General features: G+C 36.9%; 2 long non-coding RNA genes across 7 annotated transcripts in view; both read right to left on the bottom strand.

The window, feature by feature from the left end:
- On the bottom strand, positions 4,092–16,396 carry LOC124900233 (uncharacterized). Of its 2 annotated transcripts, none has more exons than XR_007060486.1 (3): positions 16,315–16,396; positions 13,655–13,786; positions 4,092–4,250 (listed from the first exon to the last, which is right to left on the bottom strand). It is a non-coding gene; the product is annotated as an uncharacterized LOC124900233 (long non-coding RNA). The 2 variants fall into 2 exon arrangements; XR_007060487.1 differs by having other exon boundaries at positions 13,690–13,786.
- Positions 16,397–16,400: 4 nt separating this feature from the next.
- Positions 16,401–24,132, bottom strand: part of LOC105375463 (uncharacterized) — a 51,730-nt gene continuing 43,998 nt past the window's right edge. For 4 of the 5 annotated variants that reach the window (XR_001745336.2, XR_001745335.2, XR_001745329.2 and 1 more), the window contains one exon: positions 16,401–16,489. This is a non-coding gene — a long non-coding RNA (uncharacterized LOC105375463). Of the gene's footprint in view, positions 16,490–21,956; positions 22,025–24,132 lie in introns of those variants that run through there. The other variant, XR_007060482.1, reaches the window with a different exon arrangement.

The following is a 24,132-nucleotide window of genomic DNA, read 5'->3' as shown; positions in this document are numbered from 1 at the left end:
TAGACTATTATCCTAGTCACGTATGTAATTATGCAACTAAGTTAAAGAGTTTTTTTTAAAAAAAGAATTACTTTGAAAAATGAAGTAAAATGTATTCTCAACAGCCAACTTCTGCCAAAATATGCGAAGAATAAAACAGGCCATAAGAATCCATTGATGTGTACAAAATTATTTTTTTGACAGAAACAGGCAAGCAACTATGTTTGTTGCTATCAATGCTTTTCTCTTGTTTATTACTTTTTGTTTGTTATTATTAATGTGTTTTCCCTTAAAGTAGTGAGGCAACATGGAACGTATGTAAGAGTTTATGGGCAGGGAGCAGTGGCTCACACCTGTAATTCCAGCACTTTGGGAGGCCAAGATGGACAGATCACCTGAGGTCAGGAGTTCGAGACTAGCCTGGAAAATATGGTGAAACACCATTACTCCTGAAAATACAAAATTTAGCTGGGCGTGGTGTCGGGCGCCTGTAATCCCAGCTACTTAGGAGGCTGAGGCAGGAGAATTGCTTGAACCCGGGAGGCGGACGCTGCAGTGAGCTGAGATCGCGCCACTGCACTCCAGCCTGGGCGACAAGAGCGCAACTCTGTCTCAAAATTAAAAAAATATATATATATATAAAAGAGTTTAGGAAGCATTTCTTAAAACCTGCTGGGTCTCAGGACTTTTTACCTGTAGGATACGTCAAGAAGTAGAAGGAGCATGGAGCTAGTGTTGCTGAGCTTTCATTAGGTTCACTCCACCAGGTTAAATTAATTTTCTGGCGTCCCACATCCTTCTGTGTAGACTCCAGTCTCCTTGGGCACACTCCTGCCTCTGTGATTTTGTACTACTCTTTCCTTCACCCGGAGTGAGGGAGCTCCCTTCTTTCCATTTTTTGGGATTCAGTTCAATCCCCACATGATTTGTGAAACCTCCTCAGACCACTCCGGCGCCCTTTGGTTTCCCACTTCTCTGAACTCTCATTGCTCTTATCATTTTCGGAAACAAGGTAAACACATGGAGGATTCAAGTGAGAATTGAACTGGAAACCAGAAGGTAAACAGGATACCCTTTTTTATTGCAAAGGGCAGAGACCCACTCAGTTGTCTCAAACTAAGGAGAAGGTATTGTAAACCTACAAAGTCCAAGAAACGGGCCTTTCATGATGTAAACTGGAAACCTCTTAGAAGCCTAGGCAGCTCTCTCAGACTCTCAGGATCATACAGTACCCCTCTGACTCTTTCTTAGGCATGTCTACTTTCATTTTCTTCCCTTTTCTCTCTTCCAAATTTTTAATTTCTTCCAATTTCTTTATCATTTCTGCTTTTATGCTTCAGCTCAACATCCCCCAAATATCTGAATTAGACTTAGGGTCTTTATTCCAAATTTAAAGGGATTGGATCATCTTGCCTTGTGCTGCATATCCAGCCTTCTGTTCAATCAATGTTGTTGGCAGGGTAGTGTGGTACAAACAGCTGCCTAAACCACGCCTACTGCAGCCTGTAGATGGAGGAGCGGATAGCTACTCTAGAAGATGTCCACTGCCTACAGAGTTGTTTATTCACTTTTGGCAAATTCCTTTTTTTTTTTTTTTTTGAGATGGAGTCTCGCTCGCTCTGTCACCCAGGCAGGAGTGCAGTGGCGCGATCTTGGCTCACTGCAAGCTCCGCCTCCCGGGTTCACGCCATTCCCCTGCCTCAGCCTCCCGAGTAGCTGGGACTACAGGCTCCCGCCACCACGCCCGGCTAATTTTTTGTATTTTTAGTAGAGACGGGGTTTCACCGTGTTAGCCAGGATGATCTCCATCTCCTGGCCTCGTGATCCACCCACCTCGACCTCCCAAAGAACTGGGATTACAGGTGTGAGCCACCGAGCCTGGCCAGCAAATTTCTTAAGGGCAAGGAATAGATTTCCCTTTGCTTACTTCTCTCACTGTGTTTGGTGTGGGCCTGTTAGACTGTCCCAGTGATTATCAACCCTGGTTGCACATTAGAATCACCTGGAAAATTTTAGGTGCATTTCGGTGTCTAGCCCTCTCCTTGTCCCACCACAAGGACTGCTGATTTCATTGTTTTGGGGGTATAGCCCGGACATCAAACATCAAGAGCTGGTCTTTCTAGATAGCAGTCCTGTTCCTACTGAGGTCAGGGCCACAGAAAGTGTTACTGCTATGGGTGGAGAAGTGACTACCTTTGCAGTGGAAAACATGGTGGAAATTGAGGAGCTGTCAAAGAGGTTAAAATTCTTGCTTGGCCTTTATAGTAGGGTAACTATATATTACATTCATGCTGTTTTAGATAGATTGGATACCAGTAATATTGGTAACTTTAGAAAGAGATATAAAGTTTTTAACTTTTGCATTTTTTGCTTTCCTCCATACCCATAACTGGTTTAAATGTGATAGTCAATGAATATTTCCCGAAGGCTTTTCCTTTATCACATAGTCAATGAATACATCTTCAAAATGAAGAACGGTTCCTATATTCTTTGAAAACATTGTTTCATATGACCAGGAACATTTAAGATTTAACAGTAAAGATGTAAAGATGACAATACAGAGTGCCAATTGGATAAGATAGTTGTTTTAGTTTTTCCAGTGGTAACTCTAAAATTAACATTTGATAAATTTGAACTGTGTTGTTTGCCCCCAGAATTGCAAGGAGTCGATTTACTGCAATTCTGTGTAGAGACGCTCCTTCAGTGTATCCTTGACAGTGTCCTGATGGTTGCCAAGGTTTGCCTCAGGTGTTAAAACCAACAGATGTGATTCACTGGTTGGAGAATTTCTTAGAATAATTTCTGGAGTTTTTCAATATGGTCAGTGAAACCAAGGAGTTTCTATTGAATTGGCTCAATTTTTGATTCTTGAAAGAAAAACACTACCTTTTCTGACAAGTGCCTCCGCGACCACCTTGGGACATTTGTTAACAACCTCTGTAAGTCAAGCCACCCCAATCTTATGATCACTTTGGTCATGATTGTGGTATAGAATGTGAATCATGGACTTTGACATTCCCTACCCAAGTTTCTCTCTCTTAGGAAGACCTAGTTTGCCAAATTACCTGCAATTACTCCTATGGAAGGCCTAGTAGCAGTGACCTCTTTGACAAAGGGCCTTGAGAGAGAATACCGTGGAAGACATCATCATAGATTTTTGATACAGCATACCTAGACTCAGTTTCCTTCTGGTGTTACAGCACAGACCAGTTGCAATGCTAGTACCTTGTTATCCCAGAGCAACTTGGCTTGGACTGTTTGGCTAGTAGGATCTCTTAAATTTACCACCATGTGTCCAACCAACACTGAATGGTCAATAATGTAAATTGCAATGCTAGTTCTTAAGGATCCTTTGGGGATGGTGTCAATGGCTTATCCTTTCTCTAGCATGATATCAGCTTTGCCTGGGCAGAAGAAGCAGAGACACCACCCCTGTAGGCTGACCAGCGGTTGGTGTGTCTGCACTGACTGGAGGGTGCTCTGGAGTATGCAATCCTGTGCAGCAGACCTTGGTGACCATCTTGGTAAGAAAGCTGTGGTTGTTGGATGGGCATAGCAGTTATAAAAGAGGATGGCTCCTTACTTGCTATGACCTCTGCAATTTTGCCCCATTTGACAAAAGTGATTCTAAGAACTTTGCATATGTCCGATTTGATCCCGAATGAAATGACTGAAAGAAGATTCATTGACGATTTCATTGTGAAATCTGCTATAACATTATTCTGCTGCACATTATCAAAGAAGTGCCTTGCGTAGTAAAGTACAGAGATGGCACAACTTAGCACTGTGTACATTTTGCTAGTTCTGTGTTGAAAATATATATCTGAAAAATTTGACCGTTGTTTATGAGAAGTTTATTTCTATTATCCCACAAGACTGTCAGGTGTGCTCATGAAGCAGCAACAAAATAGCTGAATGAAAAATCTATTGTAGGATCTCCAAACATTCAGAAGCATAGCACGCTTTTTCTTTTACAGACTTTTGATTTTGTTGCCACAAGGCAGCATGTAATCTCATCATCATGTAAATCCTAGGGAGCAAATTTTCTGGCAGAAATCTTTCACTGTGCCCCAGAACAGCACTTTAAATGTAGGGTTTACCTGGGTCTTAGGGTGGAGGTTGCCTCAATTGCTTTCTAGAATTTCTTGTTGTTATCCAGCTTAATTTTGAAGAGTAGCTCGTCATCATTTCCTTTCTGCCTCACTCCATTCCTCTCTCCTCTTTTCTTCTCTCCTTCAACAAATGTTATCTCCAAACTGTATGATGAGTTTCTGGTGAACATACAAGTATTAAATATGATCCTTACCCTCACAAAACTTTCTTCTTGTGGGGAGAAAGTATAGAAGAAACATCACAACCATGCTGGCTGGTAAGAATTATATTTGGAGTGTTGTGGAAAACATAATTGGACACCTAACCAATCCTGGATGGAGCGGGACAGTTGAGTGAGAAAGTGTAGTGTTAGGGATGGTATCTGGAAGAGATGATCCCAGGTGGTGTTGGGAAGATGGAAGAGAGCCTGTTTAAAGATATGGGTGTGGAAAATGGAAGTAGACAAATGCATAAAGTCAAGGGATTAGGTGGCATCAAGGAAGTGGCAAATAGTTCTGTGTTACTGAAAAGCAAAGTAGATGGGTTGGGGAGGTTGGAGTACAAGAAGTGACTAGTGAGGTAGGCAGACTAAGTCAGGGATAATGTTGTATTTGTTTATGTTAAAGATTTTGGAATTTTGCTGAAGAAGTATGGAGACATTAAAGAATTTTAATGATCAAGTTTTCCTGTTACCCATATCATTCTAGTGATGTGTAGAGTATAGACTGGATGGCAAGTCTGGAGGTAAGAAAACCTATTAGAAGGCTATGGGAATCGTCCAAGGGAGAAATGATGAGGGTCTGATCTAAGGCAATGACAATGTGATGGAGATGAGAGGATGGGCTAGAGAGAATTTGAAAGGGTATAATGACAGGACTTGTGCTTAAATAGATTTGTTGAAAAAAAAGCACAAACAGGCCTTTGTCGATGAGGTCTTTATTGCTGTAAGACCATCTATTCCAACCATGTCTAAAGTCCCTGGAGATCCAACCAGAGGAATTCAAACTGAACAACTGCAAAAATTCGTAACTCCACAGAACACATATCAAACGCTCTGTGCTGTGTCACATGCTTGTGAAGGTCCATATTTGAGATTCTCCAAATTTTTTAACTTTTCTCAGGAAATATCCTCTCTAAATAACTACTGGAGATACAACAATTAATTTTTCTAGCATAGAGCCCCAGGATTAGCCTCCATATACTTTTCCTTCTAATAGGTAATTTGGTTTTTTTTTTCCAACTCTATCAGAAGCTTTATAATCCATGTCTTTTTAATAATTATTCTATAACAAAGACTCTTATCTAAAAAGTCATGGCAGCCATCATAATTTGACCTACTTGCAAAACTTTTTCTTTTCAGCTTTTTTGCTCTTCAATCAGTTAAAACTAATATTAATATATTATTTTAGTTTCTACATTGTTGTGTTACAGCTAGTGATTGTTTTTGCATTCTGCAAGCACAGGTGTCCACATGTAGTGAAGGCTGCCCCTGAGCTGTAGCTATTCTTTCGTGGAGCTTTGAAGGGTTTTCATACTCAGAGTGAGCAGTTAAGGGGAGCAAGCAGGGAAGCCAGGCAGGAAAATGGTGATTGGCCAAAGGACTGTCTGTGGAGCAGTAAAGTCAGTTGCAAGTCTTACCTTTTGTACATTAAATGGTGACAGTGACTTTTTACTCTCACTCTAAAATCCACATTGTATATGTCTAAAGAAATGGAATCATCAGCCTGAGGACTATGACATCTTGCTCATTTACTGAGGAGTCAGATTTTGTACAACTTCAGTGTACACCTGAACATGGGTGTAAGACAAGAAAGAGTGCCACACACCAGAATGGCTATTGAGAAGCTCAGAGGCTGGGTCTAGGCCCTTATTCTAAAATTCGCTGCCTTGAATCTAATGTTTCAGGTTGCAGCACCTGATTAAAGCCTTCTTCCTTGGCAATACTAATTGTTTCAGTGATTGGCTTTCTTTTGCAGCAAGCAATGGGACCTAGACCGAATCCCTGGCCTTTGTAGTAACAAAAGCAGCAAGAGAAAAGCAACCTGCCATATACAAGGGCTACTCAATAAGATTATGAGCAAATTTGTCATGAGAGAATTTGAAGGCCAACGGCAGTGGGCCAAAATATTAAGAGTGCTAAAAGTAAAACAAAGAGTAAGAGTAAGTAAGTAAAACAAAAAGTAAAAAGTAAAACAAAAAGTAAAAGTAAAAAAGGTCAACCTAGAATCTTATATCTAGCAAAATTGTCCATCAAAAGTAAGGCAGAAGTTAAGACATTCCCAGATAAAGAAAAGCTAAGGGAGTTCATTACAACTAGATATTCTCTGCAAGAAATACTCAAGGGAGTGTCCTGCAGGGTAAAATAAAAGGACACTAGAGAGTAATGTGAAGCCATATGAAGAAATACATATCTCAATAAAGGTAAATTCATAGACAATTATAGAAGCTAATATTATTGTCACAATGGTCTATTACTTTTGTTTTCTACATGGTTTAAAAGACTAATACATTAAAAATAATCTAAAAGCTGGTAATATTGTAATTTTGACTTATAAATCCACATTTTTTAACATAATTTAAGAGACTAATACCATTTAAATAATTATTAATGTATTTTGGACATCATGTATAAAGACATAATTGTGTGACATCAACAATTGAAAGGGGTGAGAATGAAGTTGTTAAAGGAACAGAGATTTTGTGTATTATTGAAGTTACTTTGGAACAAATTCAAATTAGAATGTTACAACTTTAGGAACTTAAGTGTAATCCCCATGATAACCACAAAATGTAGCTATAGAAAACAAACAGAAGAAATGTGAAAGGAATTTAAATGTTTCACTACAAAAAAATAAACACAAAAGAAGATAATGATATAGGATGTGAAGGATGAAAATGCTATAAGGCCTACAGAAAACAAATAGCAAAATGACAGAAGTATGTGCTTACTTAACAGTAATTGCTTTAAATGTAAGTGGCATAAGCTCTCAAATCAAAAGACAGAGATTGGCAGAATGAATAAAATACGTGATTCAAATATATGCTGTCTACAAAAGACTCACTTTAGATCCAAAGATACAAATAGATTGGAAGTGAAAGGATGGAAAAAGATATTTCATGCAGATAGTAACCAACATAGAGAAAGTCTGGCTATACTAACATCAGACAAAATAGTCTTTAAGTTTAAAAAGTTTACAAGGGACAAAAGAACATTATATATTAATGAAAGTTTTAGTATAGCAAGAAGATAGATCAATTATAAACATTTACTCACCTAATCACAGATCATGAAAATATATAAAATAAAAACTGACAAAATTGAAAGGAGAAATATAGTAGTATAATAATAGAGACTTCAATATCTTGGTTAAGAGGGTGTTGTTTAATTTCCACAATTCTGTGGAATTTTCCAGTTTTATTTCTGTTATTGATTTCTAACTTCATTCTCTAGAGATGAGAGAAGACATTTAATCAGATATCTATTTTTTTAAGTCTATTGAGACTTAATGTGTAGCCTAATATGTAGTGAATCCTGAAAAACATCCCAGATACAATTGAGAAGAATGTGTACATTGTTGTTGGGTAGAATGTTCTGTGTGTGTGTGTGTGTGTGTGTGTGTGTGTGTGTATATATATATATACACACACACACACACACACACACACACACACACACTATATATATATATTAGATCTAATAGATCTGGTTGGTTTATTGGGCTGTTTAAATCCTCTGTTTCCTTACTTATTTTCTGTCTGGTTGTTTCATCCATTATTTTTTATTTTATTTTTTGGAGACAAAGTCTGCCTCTGTTGCCCAACCTGGAGTGCAGTGGCATGATCTTGGCTCACTGCAGCCTCAGCCTCTTGGTCTCAAGCAATTCTTCCACCTCAGCCTCCCAAGTAGCTGGGACTAAAGGTGCATGCCACCATGCTCAACTAATTTTGTTTATTTTTTGTAGAAACAAGGTCTCAGTATTTTGTCCAATCTGGTCTCAAAGTCCTGGGCTCAATAGTTCTCCCTTCTTGGCCTCCGAAATTGTTGGCACTACAGGTGTGAGCTACCATGCCCAGCCTAGTTTTATTCATTATTGAGAGGAAGAATCACAAGGGAAATTAGAAAATACTTACAGATCAATAAAAGTGAAAACACAACATACCAAAATTTAGGGGACACAGCAAAAGCAATCCTGAGGGAAAAATTTATAGTTATATATGCTTACACTGTAAAACAAGAAAGATCTCAAATCAGCAACCTAACTTTACAACTTAAAGAACTAGAAGAAGAAGAATAAATTAAACCCAAACTATCAGAAGTAAGGAATTAATAGATTAGAGCAGAGATAAACAAAATAGAGAATAGAAAACCAATGGTGAAAATCAATGAAATCAAAAGTTAATCACTTAAAAACATCAATAAAATTGACAAACATTGGCTAGATAAACTAAGAAAAAAGGGAGAAGACTCAAATTACCAAAATCAGAAGTAGAAGTGGGGACATTACTACTGACTTTATAGAAATAAAAAGGATTATAAACGTGTTATGAACAATTATACTACAAAAAATTGGATAACCTACAAGAACAACTTCCTAGCAACAAGAAGAAACCTACCAAGACTAAATCATGAAGAAATAGAAAATCTGAATAGAAACTTGTGAGAATATTAAATCAGTATTCAAAATCTCCCACCAAAAAAAAAAAAAAAAAAAAAAAGATCTGGACCTGATGGCTTCACAGGCAAATTCTACCAAACATTTAAAGAAAAAAATAATAGCAATCTTTCCCAAACTTTTTTTAGTTGAAGAAAAAGAAACACTTCTAAATTAATTTTAGGAGGACAGCATTTACTTGATATTAAAGTCAGACAAAGAGACTGCAAGGAAAGAAAACTGCAGACCAATATCCGTTGTAAATATTGATTAAAAAATCCTCAACAAAATACTAGCAAACCAAAATCTGCAGCATATTAAAAGGATTATATACATAGCAACCAAGTGAAATGTATTCCTGGCGTCTAAGGATGGTTCAACACATGAAAATCAATCGATGCATTATACCACATTAACAGAATGAAGAAAAAAACACATACTTATCTCAATTGATGCAGACAAAACATTTCATTAACTTCAACACCCTTTTATGATAAACAAAAAACACTTAACAAATTAAGAATAGAAGAAAACTACCTCAATATAATAACAGCCGTAATTTAAACAAAGTAATCATTATACCCCGTGGTGCAAGGTTGAAAGCTTTTGCTCTGAGATCAAAACACAAGCATGTCCTTTCACCACTTGTATTCAATACAATACTGGAAGTTCTAGCCAAAGCATTAGGTAGGAAGAGAAAATATTAAAGGCATCCAAGTTGGAAGGAAGAAGTAAATTTATCTGTTTGCAGATGAGATGATCTTATATGTAGAAAACCCTAAAGATTAACCTCACATACAAAACTGTTAGAACTAATAAATGAATATAGTAAAGCAGCAGGATACAAAGCCAACATGCAAAAATTAGTTGCATAAAGACTTATACAGTTACCCAAGTTAAACTATAAAACTTTTTTTTTTTTTTTAAAGTAGAGATGAGGTCTTGCTCTGTTGCCCAGGCTGGTCTCGAACCCCTAATCTCAAGCAATCCTCTCGCCTTGCTTTCCCAAAGTGCTGGCATTAGAGGTGTGAGCCACCACACCCAGCCTAAACTATAAAATGTTGCTGAAAGAAAGAATACATAAATACATGAAAACACATCCCATCTTCATGGATAGATTGGAAAACTTCATATTGTTAAGATGTCAATGCTCTCCAAAGTAATGTAAAAATTCAGTGCAATGTTTTTCAAAATTCCAATGATTTTTTTTTTCATAAATAGAAAAACTCATCCAAAAATTCAAATGGAATTCTGAAGGGACCTCAAATAGACAAAACAATCTTGAAGAAGAACAAAGCTGGAAAAATCACAGTTTTCTATTGGAAAACTTACAACAAAGCTACAAAAATCAATACAGCGTGGCACTGGTAAAAAGACAGACATACAGGCTAATGGAATAGAATACAGAGCCCAGAAATAAACCCTAACACATATGATCAAGTGATTTTTGACAAGGTGCTAAGACTATTCAATGTAGAAAGAATACTCTTTTCAACAATGGTGCTTAGAAAACTGGATTTTCCCATGCAAAAGAATGAAGTTGGGCCCTTACCCAACACTATATACAAAAATTAACTGCAAATGCATCAAAGACCTAAATGTAAGATCTAAACTAATAAAACTCTCAGAAGAAAACATAGAGCAAAAGCTTTATGACATTGGACTTGGCAATGACTTCTTGGACTTGACACCAAAGGCACAGACAGCAAAGGAAATAATAGACAAATTGACCTCATTAAAATTAATTTTATACATCAAAAGACACTAGCAATGGAGTAAAAATGTGAACCACAGAATGGGAGGAAATATTCTCAAGTCATATATCTGATACCCTTATCAGAATATAATATTTAGAATATATAGAAACTTCTGTAACTTACAACAAAAAAAGCAAACAACCTGATTCAAAAATGAGCAGAGTACTTGAATAGACATTTCTCCAAACAAGATATACAAATGGACAATAAGTACGTGAACAGATGCTTAGCATCACTAATCATTAGGGAAGTGCAAATTAAAACTACCATGAGATAACGCCTCACGCTCATTAGAATGACAAATATCAACAAGACAAAACAGAAAATAACAAATGTTGGTGAGGATGTGGAGAAACTGAAACCTTTGCACCATTAATGGGAATTTATGTGATACAGCCACTGTGGACAACAGTATGGCCATTCCTAAAAAAATTAAAAATAGAATCATTATATGATTCAGCAATTCCACTTCTGAGTATATACCCAAAATAATTGATAGAACCCTAAGAGATATTTGTACACTCATGACCATAGCAGCATTATCCACAGTAGCTAAACCATGGAAGCAACTCAAGTATCCATCAGTGGATGTGTGGATAAGTAACTATGGTGTATACATACAGTAGACTATTATGCAGCCTTAAAAAGAAGGAAATTCTGATTCATGCTAAAACACTGATGAACCCTGAGGACCTGCTAAGTGAAATAAGCCAATTACAAAAACACAAATGCTGCATGATTCCTTTTACATGAAGTACTTAGAGTATTCAAAATCATAAACACAGAAAGTAGAATAGTTGTTTCCAGGAGTTTGGGGGAGGAGGAATGAGGAGTTATTGCTTAATGGGTATAGAGTTTCAGTTTTACAAGTTGAAAAGAGTTATGGAGATGGATGGTGGTTATGTGGCATAACATTATGAATGTATTTAGTACCACTGAATTGCATACTTAGAAATGGTTAAGATAGTATTTATGTATGTGTATTTTATCACTAAAAAATGGAAAAAGAAGTTCTAGAAAGAGTGAGTAGGGAAAACAGAGGGATGAAAATTATCAAAGCTGTAATAGAAGAAAATTATTCAGAGTTTTAAAAAAGACACAAATCTGCCATTTGAAAAAGCCCACAAAGTACTGAATGGGTGAGAAAAAGATCCACCAACTTATCCTAGTGAAATTTCAGAAACTTTTGAAGACTTTGTAAAGGATATGGAGAGAAAGATACTATTCATTTATATAATGAATAACATTACTAAAATTTGACTTTGTAAATGCCGTTTGTTTCCCAGCAATAATGAACCAACTATAGATGAGATTCTAAAGATTGATTAAACATATACAGGAACAAAATACAAATATGATCAGGGCCCCTGCATTAATCTGTAGGGCTGTGCACTGCTAAACTCCAGGAGGCACTGTTCTCCAAGGAGGCAGTAGTGCAGCTGCCCTGAATGTAAAACAATCCCACTGATGGGCTAGTGTTGGACAACATGCAGGGCCTAAATTGGAAACCAGAAGTAGAGGCTTAGTATACTACTGAACAATTAATTCAGGAACCTATACAAGAGCTAAAAGATTGTGTGAGCATGTGTGTTAGCATGTTTGTGTGTTCATACACACGTAAAATGAAACTCAGGAGAGAAAAGGATATCTTTTGTGTACTGAATATCTTGTACTGGGAGTGAGAAGATACTATCGAAACTTGAGTCATCAAAAAATAGAAGTATAAATGTATATCAGTCACAGTGGAGAGCAAAAAGGAAACCATCAGAACTAAAAACAGAAACTGGGAAATGGTATAAGTGACAGGGAGTAGGACAGGGAATGTAACTTTTAGTATCGTTTGAATTTTAAAAATATATGTATTATTTTGTAACAATAATAATAAAAGTAGATCAATCTGTTTTTTTAACCACATCATTACTGTACAATTACTCGGTTGCCCGGTGACTTTTCAGAGGAGCATATGCAAATCATATGCAGAGCAAACAGACTCCACATCCCTTCAGGACTATTTATGCCTCATGCTTTCTTTGACTGTAAAAAAGTTGAGGCATAGGGTGCTATTTTGTATTCTAATTGTGTGGACAAATTGTCAGTGGACTACATTTCCCCCGGGGTATGGAGCTCTCTTTGTCCCCCTTGGATATTGGCGAATGTATCTCAGATATAATCGACTACTAACACTTCAAGATCTTTATTACATATTGATTCCTTAAATACATAGATTTTATTTGAGCCTTACAATAATTCTGTGACAATTCAGAGCAGGTGTTACTATCTTCATTTTCTAGAAAAAGTTAAGCAAGGTTAAGGTGTCTCAAGTCATTGAGAAAGGGAAAGAGCCAGCACCGGTCTTCCTCTCCCTGCCCCATATGGTTTCTTAAGGTGATGGAGATTAAGTAATATTAATGCATACAGGCAGCTTTTAAAAAATGTGAAAAACACATTACCAAAGAGGAAAAAGCAGCCACTACAAACAGGAAATCCTTGTAAATGCCTCAGCTATAACCTTCCTCACCCTGAACTCTTGTTAAAATTGAACAATATGGTAGTTAAAAATGTGTCTCACAGAAAGGACTTTTGAAGGGAGCTGCAAAAGTAAAGAGAAACAAAAAGAGGAAGAAAAGTAAAAAGCTTTCCTTAAAAATGTGGAATTCCATTTAATTGCTGTGCTTGCCTGGGTCCTACGAAGCATCTTATGTTCTGAGTCCTATATTTCAAGTGCTTGCCTATGTCCTGTAAAGCGTATTCTGACTCAGAATAAAACAATGTAAAAAACAGCCTATGATTAATCTTTCCACTTGATTCTGACATTTATTCACCCTTTCTTCCTATGTGCAGAAGTGGAAGTGGGCATATGTGTGACAATGGGGGGAAAGCGGGATGAATGGCAGGGGTTAGAATAAGAAATGTAACTTATTTTTAATGTCATTTGAATTTGCTTAATATGTGCATATATGGAAGGGTTGATTAAACTATAGATAGGAAAGCATTGACCAAAGGGCTCTTTTCTAGAATGCCGTCTGACTCCTTTAAAGTTAAAATATTATTAGAGGACCATAAATTTAATCAGGAGTTTCTGGGTATATTCTGCTTTTCTTCTTCTATTAGAAATTCAAAGCTCTGCCTTCACAACACAAAACCCTTGACTTAAACATAAAAATTTTTAGATACCTCAGAGGCAGGACATTCCCTTTTTCTTGGCCCACCTGGCATCAGTGTGAATGTTTGGTGAACCTTGTCCAAATTCTGGCTCTTCCCATATTGATTCAGTTTCTATCTGCTAGAACAAGGTGACCTGCCAAGCTGTAGTGAACAAAATACGATGACTCACATGAAGTTTTTTCTTTTATTTAAACAAGTTAAGTGCAAAGACCATTGATAAGAGCAATTTTTAGCAACCTTGTTATCAGCTTATAGTGAGGCAGTCCCTCTTCCTTCCTCCCCTTTCCACCCACCCCATAGTCGTAAAACCCTCACCAGAAACAATTTATAAAGCTTTTAAAGACAACTTTCAGGTTTGAGTGTTAGTATTTAAATGTGGAATTACTTTGAATTTGAGGCGCTTAGCCAAATTGTTACTAAAATATACTCTTTTTCTTGGCAATTACCACTGTAGACAATGTAGAGTGTTTATTTCATGTGTACCTAGCCATAAATGAATTCAAAAGTAATTTAACTTAAAGCTTTAACTAATTCTTTTAATCCCAATAACATAAAGCACTGTGTTTGGATCAGGAATCATCTTATATAACTGGCATTTAATAGGCATGACAAAATATATAATAAAGAAGTATATAACTTTTGTTGCATCTACATTAAATACAAATGAAAAATAATGAGGCTTATTTCTTCCATAGATCTCAGTGTCTTTGGAAAAAATGGACAATCAATAACTGCTGTAATATAACAGCACGATTCTATTATTTTCAGAGCTCTATAGTGAGATTAATAGTACTATTTTTAAAAATCAGAATGTGACTTTATTAAATCCCAGAAGAATGTACATTTAAGAAAAAGGGATAGAAATATCACCAAATATCTTTTCTGTATTGAATATAGCAGTCTGAATGTCACAGTCTTTAAACCTTTTTCTTCTTCCCTGAATTGCTATATCTGGTAATTTTGAAATATGAGTTAGAAACAATCAAGCTCATACCTAATGGATATCAATATTCCAGTTAATGTTTGTCCCAATGTTTTTCTCAAAGACTTAAGAAAAATGAAAATTCTATTTGACTTACGCTTATAGCAGAGATGGCTAACAACATAAAATTAATGCTATGTCTTTCTTAGTAGCTTTGTCTTGTGGCTGCCCAGCCAAAACCAACTTTTCTATACTTACTAGCAGTTAGGAGAGGCCATGTGACTAATTTCCACTAATAGAATGTGAGAGGTAGTGGCACCTGTTACTTCTGGACCCAGGTAATTAAACAGCTGGTGTGGTTTTTGCATCCTTTCTCTTGCCTCTTCCATCAGTTGGATGTTGATTTCCATGGCAACCTCTAAAGCCATGTTTTGGAGAACACATCACAGCTATCAACTTGGGTCTCTATATGACTGCATGAGACAGATGCATCGTGGCCCCAGCAGCAGACCATGAGCACCTGTGCTGGACTGTTGCATGAGCAAGAAATAAAATTCAATTGTATTAAGCCATTAGAATGTTGGGATTTATTTGTTAAAGTGCTAATGTTACCCTATTGTGCTATCCATTTTTTGTGCTATCCATTTTTCTTATGCTTGTATAAAACATTTATTAAGAGAAATCTTGTTAATCTCAACATTACTTGTTCATTGCAGAAAATGTTGACTATGTCTTATACTGACACAACAGCACAATTCTATTATTTTCCTATGAAGGTTTGAAATAATGAAATTATTATTTCAATAATAGAGGTTTGAAAATAAAATTAAAGCAAATCAAAATGACATTAACTGCCAAAGTTTTATTACATTTATTTTTAAGCACTGTGAAAAAATGTCAAGTTGTCAAGTTTCTGGTGTTTTATTCTTGTAATCCTAGTTAGAATATAGTTTTATCTTTGTCACACATGAGCATGACATTCTCTTATCTTCTCTTAAGCTCATGAGTGTGAATTAAGTAGCATATGTCACCATTCCCCAAAATCTTTTAGGATTACATTGTTCACATCTGACTCAGGAGAATAAACACATGAAATCACATTGAAGTCTTGTTGAAGTAGTCTACATGTTTGTTGATAAATAGAATTCCATGAAACATATCCTTTTAAAAGAGCTAGGCCCTTTAAAAAATAGAATTTTCATTTTTCTTAAGTCTTTGAGAAATACCTTGGGACAAACATTAACTGGAATAATGATATCAGTTAGGTAAGTAGATGGTTTCTAACTCATATTTCAAAATTACCAAGACATAGCAATTCGGGGAAGAAGAATTCAAGGAAGCTAGGCCCAGACAAGCTTCTGCTGTCTTCAGATCTATCTCAAACAATTTAATTAGTATCACTAAAAATATGGCCAATATTCTAGGCAATGCAGTTTACTTCTCAGTTTAACAACAGAGATTCCAAGTGATTAATAGTCAATAATATAGACCTTTTCATTCATTTCTTAATATCTAAGAGGGTTAGTGAAATATATTATTATTAGTATTTTCTTCCTTTAGTATTTTTCTCAGCAATATGTACTAATCAGATGGTGCTGGAACCTCCCCTTGGGCAAAATTTTGAGCTATACAGAGCATGAAGTTTCACAGTGATATCCATGTGTCTTTCACCTAGAAAGAGCTGGTTAAAAGAAAATGCAAAGGATCTGAGACTTTACCCTGCTTGCTAATTAACTTAATAGCCTACCACAGTTCCACAGAGGCTGGCAAGAAGACATGAGGCTCCTGATTGGGAGACAAGGACATTATCACGACACAGTAAGCAGCATGAACTTCATGTTTACATTGATTCTCACTTGCCTGGCTTCCCACAGGGTTGTCATGGAAGAGACCCAGAGGGATGCTGCACATGTGGTGGTGGTCTAACACAAAGAAAAGATAAATGCTGGAGGTGAGGAGTACCCCAATTACCTTGATTTAATCATTACACGTTGTATGCTGGTATCAGCATATCACATGCATCCCCAAAATTTGAACAACTATTATATATCCATAGTACTTAAAAATAAAAAATTAAAAAATGTAATATACTAGACAATGAGCTTTACAAGTGTTTTGATACTTTCCTCAGGTTTTTCTTCTCTTTGAGCATATGGCTTGAGATAGTTGAGAACATGAGACATACTAGCACCCATATTTCTTTTGTTCTCTTTTTAAACATGAACTCTAGACCCATTTCATTTTCCTCTACTTATATATCAGAATAAGTTACAGAGGAAATAAGATCTGAGAGCAGATGGGGAAGACAAAATTTAGGGTGCAGGAACAGAAGTAGGAACCTTGGAAAGCGGAAAGGACCCAACTACATCTGTAATCTCTTTTTTGATATTGGCTTTTTAATATCTGCCTGTAAGCCACACACACACACACACACACACACACACACACACACACACACACACACACACCATCTTGTCTATTATCTTACTTAGTAGACTCAATTATGTTTATATCAAGAATTAAGTGTATTCTGGCCGAGCACGGTGGCTCATGCCTGTAATCCCAGCACTTTGGGAGGCCAAGGCGAGTGGATCACCTGAGGACAGGAGTTTGAGACCAGCCTGGCCAACATGATGAAACACCATCTCTACCAAAAATACAAAAATTGGCTGGGCGTGGTGGTGGGTGCCTGTAATCCCAGCTACTCAGGAGGCTGAGGCAGGAGAATCGCTTAAACTCGGGAGATGGAGGTTGCAGTGAGCTGAGATTGCGCCACTGCACTCCAGCCTGGGTGATGAGTAAAACTCTGTCTCAGAAAAAAAAAAAAAAAAAAAAAAAAAAAAAAAAAAAAGGGTATTTGTTATAGTCTGTATGTGTAACATATTTTATAATTTCCTTTATTTTATTTAGCAGACAATTTCAATTCCAGGTGAAGTCAGGGTAAACAACTTTTCCAAGTTAAGATAGTTCATCTCTTATGAGTAAATAACTTTCAGCAATTTAGAGCCCTATTTTGGCTGTGCCTCCTGCTACCATAGGCTGGTCCCTCCCTGATCCTTCTTTCCAATGTGCAGGAGGAGGTTGCATCCATCCTCATGTGGCAGGAGTTGAGGGCACTTTCCACATTCTTGATGTTCTTTGCTTCGGAGGGGTTGGTTTGGTCCCCAGAGGCCCTATACTGGTGTCCTCTGAGATGTGGCTGGTTATACCTAACCTTGTTGAATATTTCGCTGGCATTAACTTCTAATGTATCACTTCTTGCCAGTTGCCTCAAGGAGTAAAGTCCCTAGGCTGTGTAGCTTCCTTTTCCCAATCAGAGTCCCCTCTAGGTTTTTGTGGCCTCTCCACATTTCCCCACTGAGCCACACAGACATTTCTGGGTCTCTGGTATGCCTTGCATCGTCTATGGGAGGACTGGGGCACCCTCTTGGGTACATCATCAAATGCTTCCTTTGTAATTCCTACTGTACAGCTCTTTGGCCTGTTGACAGAGAAGCAGAGCATCAACCTCTCATTTAATCCATTTTAGCTTTCTGTGGGCATTTTTAATTATTTGTTTTGTCTCTTTGGCCACGGCACAGGGATGGCAGTGTGGCTGCTCTAGATCAGCGAAGGGAACCAGGCATCTCATCAGTTTAACTGCTTCCTCTCTGAGCCCTGTGCCTCCCTTCCATGACAGAATAATTTCTTCTTCTTCCTTCTTACTATTGGGCATATCCCTTGTGTCAAATCATTTGTTGTCTCTACGCAGTATTTTCTAGTAAAACTCTAGGACAAAAGTCCATCAGGCCTAGATCTGTATATAAAAATTGGAGTTTAAGGGATTCAGAAAAAACTTAACCTCTTTAAACAAAGCCTCATTTTTAAGAATCTTACTGGAGATTAAAACAAGTCTAATTTTGGAAATCAAAAGCTGAACATGGACATCTTTTTATCTTACATTGCTGTTTTAATGCTTAGCCTCCTTACAATAATGGCCAAGCCTCCACTAGCTGAAGTAAGAGGGCATCATATACAAGGAAAGGTGAGAAAGAAAAGTACACATCAATATATTTAAAAATATATTTAAAATAAAAGTATATTTAAAAACACAGAAATGGACTCCAGCTAACTTAATCATATGTGACATATTAGAAGGCTATTCATGTTGGAAAATCAATGGAACGCTGAGGGATAAGTGTGGGATGCACAGGAGCCTAGGGTGATCCCGAGTATCCAGATGTGGAAAGCGCAGCAGTGTGGATAGGATAGCATGCTGCTATTTATGACTCAAAGGCCAGTCAGAGAGCATCAGTGGCTGAGCTTAGGTGTGGACCTATCCTCTGCCTTCAGCAGGGATGAGGAGTCATGGCCTCTGTCAGCTTCAGCTTCCATAATGACTGGAGGCATCTGGATTCCCCCATCACCAACACAAAAATTGGTGGTGGGTTCTGGAGGCTGATTAACCTCCAAAAAAGAAATTGGAGTGCTATTGGAAAGTCATTCTTGGAAAGTCCTAAATGACGAATATATGCAACATCTAAATGAAAACAAAAAAATGTGGGAAGGAAGGGCTCAGAAATAAAAGGTGGGATGTCCGAAAATGAGCTCCTTCTTTGCACTTCTGTCAAGGATAGGCACAACCCTGTGGTTTGGGGCATGACCTTGGCCTTAGCACCCATACCATAATGCTTCTTTTCCCTAATTTTCTGGCTCCTTTGCTTTGTTTTTCTTTGGAGGCTGTTTTCTCCCCTTCTCTGTGTAAATGGCCACTACAGCACCTGAGTTCACCGCTCTGCCATTCGATTAAAGTGCTGAATTAACCAGAGCCTCTTTATTCCAATTCTGAACTTCCAAGGGAGCATATCTGATTAGGCCGGTTTAGTATATCCACACCTAATGAGCTATGAACACAGGGGAATGGATAGGTGCAAAGGGTTATATGGTATCAACACTATTTGTGAGATGTGAGGCTGGCAGTGGTTCTCAGAAAGGAGAGAATGGGGCATGGAGTGGGAAAACAGGCTAAAAGTTATGATGGCAGGCTATGATTATACCATAACATGTTTTACAAATCCCCTAATATTGAATATTCTTTCATTCTAATTTTTTCCTATTATAAGAAAATTGCGATTTTAAAAATCCTTTGAAGGTAAATCACATTCTTCCCTTTAGGATTAATTCCTGGAAGTGGAATTGCTGGTGCAAAGAATCATTACATTTTAGAACTTTTGATGTATATTTGTTGTCTTCCAGAAGCCAATGTATGCCATCTCCAGTACTTAAAAGTACTCATTTTCCTACTTTATCTGGGTATATTAATTTGCTTATTAGACATATTAAAAATAGTTCATTGCTTTAATTTACTTGTATTTAATTTCAAATAAGATCAAGCCTTCTTCGTAAACATATTAGCCACTGCATTTCTTCATGTCTTTCATGTATTTTATTGTGTTAATCTTATTGATTTTAAAAGTTCTCTAGTTATAAAAGGTAATCTTTTGTTGTATAGTATGTCTCAAATATCTCTCCAAGCTACAGTTTGCCTTTTGAGAGTTTATATCTAGATTTTTAAAACATAGCTATGAAGTAGCTTTTTAAAAAACCTATGATTATATCATGTAACTAAGTCAAAATTTGGTCAGAGGGATATTCTTCTTTACAGAGTTATTGGATTTATTTGTTCTTGTGGAATATACTGATCTTTTGTTCAATCTTCTGCCTTTAGAAAATGGAGTGGCTGTTGACTAAAACCACCAGAAGTGAAATACAGAGTAAGGCTCACTTTATGCATGATGATGTTATTGGTTTGTTGATAGACTTGGTCACATAAATCCAAGATATAGTTGATCTAGGCCTTTTATTTTGCCATTTAGGGATAAGATAAGAAGAAAACAAACCTGGTAATGCAGCACCAATTGTTAGAATATTGTCTGTAGGGCTCTGCTTTTACATCTCTTTTCAATTTTTCAAATAGATATTCGTAGGTCAAGATTTTCTTGAGAGCTGACTAGAATTAACTTCTGTGTATTAGATTGAAATTGGCTCAGAAGTTAATGTGTAGCAGGAGGTATTATTTCTTCTTCCAAGAGATATTTGGCTGAGAGGCTGCCAATTTCTGTGCTATGAAGTTTTTTGGAGAAGAAAATTAAATTATTTTATCTTTGGCTTTAAGGAATAAATATCCATCTCCAAACTTTCTAGCCCTATCTGAGAGTTGCCGTTGTACGTATCTTTCTAAGCTTTATTTTTATCACCACCTGACAAATATTATTTCATTTTTGTTTTCATATATAAGGTTTACTTCTCTTTATTTTATAAATGTAATCAGCACAAACTGGATAAAGAAATATTATAAGGAAATAGCCATTTAACCCTAATTGCTATCAGAAGTTCACAAAGGAAAAAAACATTCTAGATGTACATTGTCCAGTTTATAACCGTGGATGACTTGTTCACCAAAGGCTCTTCTAACACCTCAAACACAACACATCCAAACTTAGAGCCGACATACACTAAGGTGACCCCCAATGCATCCTCGTTCTTGTTTAATTCTCTCTTCTTGAATGTAGGCAGAGCCCGTGACTTGCTTCTGACCAATACAATATGCAAAGGCAGGATTTCACTCTTTTGATGAGTGTATATTGTATGCCAAAGATGGTGGATTGTCACTGCCTTAAGTATACAAGACTCTCTTAGCACACTGCAACTAGAGATTCTCCCATTGGCCTTGAAAAAGCAAATGGCCATGTTATGAACTGCCTATAGGGAGGCCCAGGCAGCAAGGACCTCCCTTTAGGGCTTAAAGTTTGCCTTAGCCGCAACCAATAAAAGGCTAAGACCCTCAGTCATACAACCACAAATACACAAATTCTCAAAAAACCTGAAAAACTTGGAAAAGTGGATCTTCCCCAGTCAAGCCTCCATATGAGAATGCAGCTTCCAGATGAGAATGTAGAATGCAACCTTGATTACAGCTTGTGAGCTTCTGAGCAGAGAGCTTAGCTAAGCCATACCCAGACTGCTGACCCACAGAAACTGTGACAGAGTAAAGGCATATTGTTTTATATTGCTAGGTTTGTGGTAATTTGCTATACAGCACATAAAACAAATATGCAGCCTAAACTCAATTGTGTTTCCCAAGCTTCTTGTATTTTCTTTGTATCAGCGCAACTATCTTTCTAGTGAAATTCATCTTTGATTCCCAAAGTCAAGCAGCTACCAAATCCTGCTGATTTTATATCTAAACCATCTCTTGTGTGATTCCACTTATCATCAGTTCTTACCAAGACAGCTGCAAATCTTTTCCTTCCTTGGGCCCTCATGGTGCCTTTATTCTGTGCAATGTTGGCAAATTACTCTCTCCAAAGCTGTGCTTCCCAAAACACCTTCTGTAGATACTAGTCCCATGAAATATTCACTATACTGTAAGCTCCATACGGGGAAGAAAGGCAGCTGTTTTGTCCACCATTGTATGCCTGATGTGAAGTAAATATGTACTTTAGAAAATAATGAGTACACAGATCAGAATGTTTCTGGAAGAAAATTGTTTGTATTATAAAAATAGAAGCCTGATAATTTTTGCTTCAGGTTTTAAGAGGGAATTTAACAAATTATTTTTCTATCACAAGAATTTTCACAGCAATCAGAATCTCAGAACAGATGTGAACTATTAGTAGGATGATCATACATCTCACTTCTGGCTCCCCTTTCACTCAAAATCATGCAGGTTGAGAAGATAAACTTAAGGTGATGGGTGGTGGATGAGGTGCTGATGCAGAACACTAGATCAGATAACCAGGCAGTTTTCCAAACTCTAGCCTCTAGCATATGCTTCCCTTTTAAATATAAATGAATTGAGAGGAAATGTAGAGGCTTGTGAGGCTGAAAATTCTTGATTTCTTTTGTTGTTAAACCATTACAGTTTGCCAAGTCCTTTCACCCTGATTGTAAATCTCAAAGGGAATTCAATCCCATGTGTTTCTGATTAGTTTACACTTGAATTATCCAAAAGTTTTGTAAGACCCATTTGAATTCCAAAAACCTTTGTGAAGCTTTTTTTTTTTTTTTTTTTTTTTTTTTTGGTGGTGGTGGTGGTGGTTTGTTGGGAAGAGATTGTTGGAAGGATAGGCAAAAAGTGAAAACAGGTTATTTTGAGTTAGAATTAGGATCACAAGGAAACCTCTCTAAAATGGTAAAATACGCAACATAATCAAAGTGAGTCTTAAACATGAAATTTATGTGGTTCAAATCAGTCTATAATGTGGCACAGTGTAATTGCTCATTTTTGAAACTGATCTCTGCCTATAGTACCCACATAGCTCATAAATATAGCATTTGTATAATGCTACATAGAAAATACTTTCTATTTCCAGATTAGAATAGAAATTATTTTAATTGCTTGTTCATGTATCATTGAATATTAATGGAATCTTCTCCATTTAACGAGGCACAGAGAATTTCCGAAAGGAGGGAGAGCAAAGAAACATTAAGCCATATGGAGATTATCAATGTTATCACTCTCTGTCAAAAGGACTGAAAGGTTATATATACCAAATCCCAATATGTGCAGTCATATCATCTGCTGAATATATTTGAAAGTTAATAACTGTATGTAAAAATAAAACTGTGGCATCATTACATTTTAAGAAGCATTGCAAATGTATTGCTCCACATAGAAATGCACACAGACTAATATTAAGTCATGCTCCATGCTTCTTGTCCTATTTCTTGCTAAGTTTGAGTGTCTGGAATCCTTAGCTGAGTGCCAGTGAGTCTGGAACTCAGACAGAAGCTGCCCAGCCTCACTGGCTCTGCGTATTACAGGCTGTATTTGGTCCTGATTTACTCTACTGGATATGGTATCTGAGTTTAATGATGGATTTCATGTAGAATGAATACAGTAACTTAAAATTATGAGATGAAACTGCCTTACAAAACATTATTTCTTAACTTTCTGAAATTTGATGCCAGGACACATCCAGGATTTGAGCATACATCTGTCAGTTCTCAGCTCCCTCCCCTTAGTTCCAACCATCACCAATCACACTCAACACTTCTTAGTTTGGAACAAAGAAGCTCACTACCATCATGGTAGAATTAACTTGTAATGAAATTCATGCTTACCACATCCTATGAACAGGCCAGGATTTTATAGAACATACTTGATTCCTTTGGAAAACATGTTTATTTTTGAGTTTCTAAGCAGATGCATTTCTGCATTTGAATAGCAGCTTGCCAAGAAGTTCTGAAATCTAGCCATTTTAATAAGAAAAACCAAAATAGTGGTACAAGTTCTTGACCATCTGTTACTGCTCTTACAGAGAAGATTACTGCATTGGGTGGGAGGGAAGAGTACAACAAATCCTTAGGTACCAACCAGTTCTAAGACTCTATTATTCAAGCACCTCAGATTCATTGATTATTTCATGCAATTTATTGTGCTTTACTTTGGGACTAGCTATGCACGGATTTGTGTTATCTGAGGTGCATAACTAAGCTTCTCAAGGCTAGTCTATCTTCACTAATATCTTTTCTACTTAATCCCTGATATTCAAAATATATTTAAAGGAGGTGGGAGAGGAAA

The sequence above is a fragment of the Homo sapiens genome, chromosome 7 (genome assembly GCF_000001405.40).
Source record: "Homo sapiens chromosome 7, GRCh38.p14 Primary Assembly".
NCBI classification, from domain to species: domain Eukaryota; kingdom Metazoa; phylum Chordata; class Mammalia; order Primates; family Hominidae; genus Homo; species Homo sapiens.
Note: the sequence above shows the minus strand (reverse complement) of the source record. Positions and strands in the feature narration are given on the sequence as shown.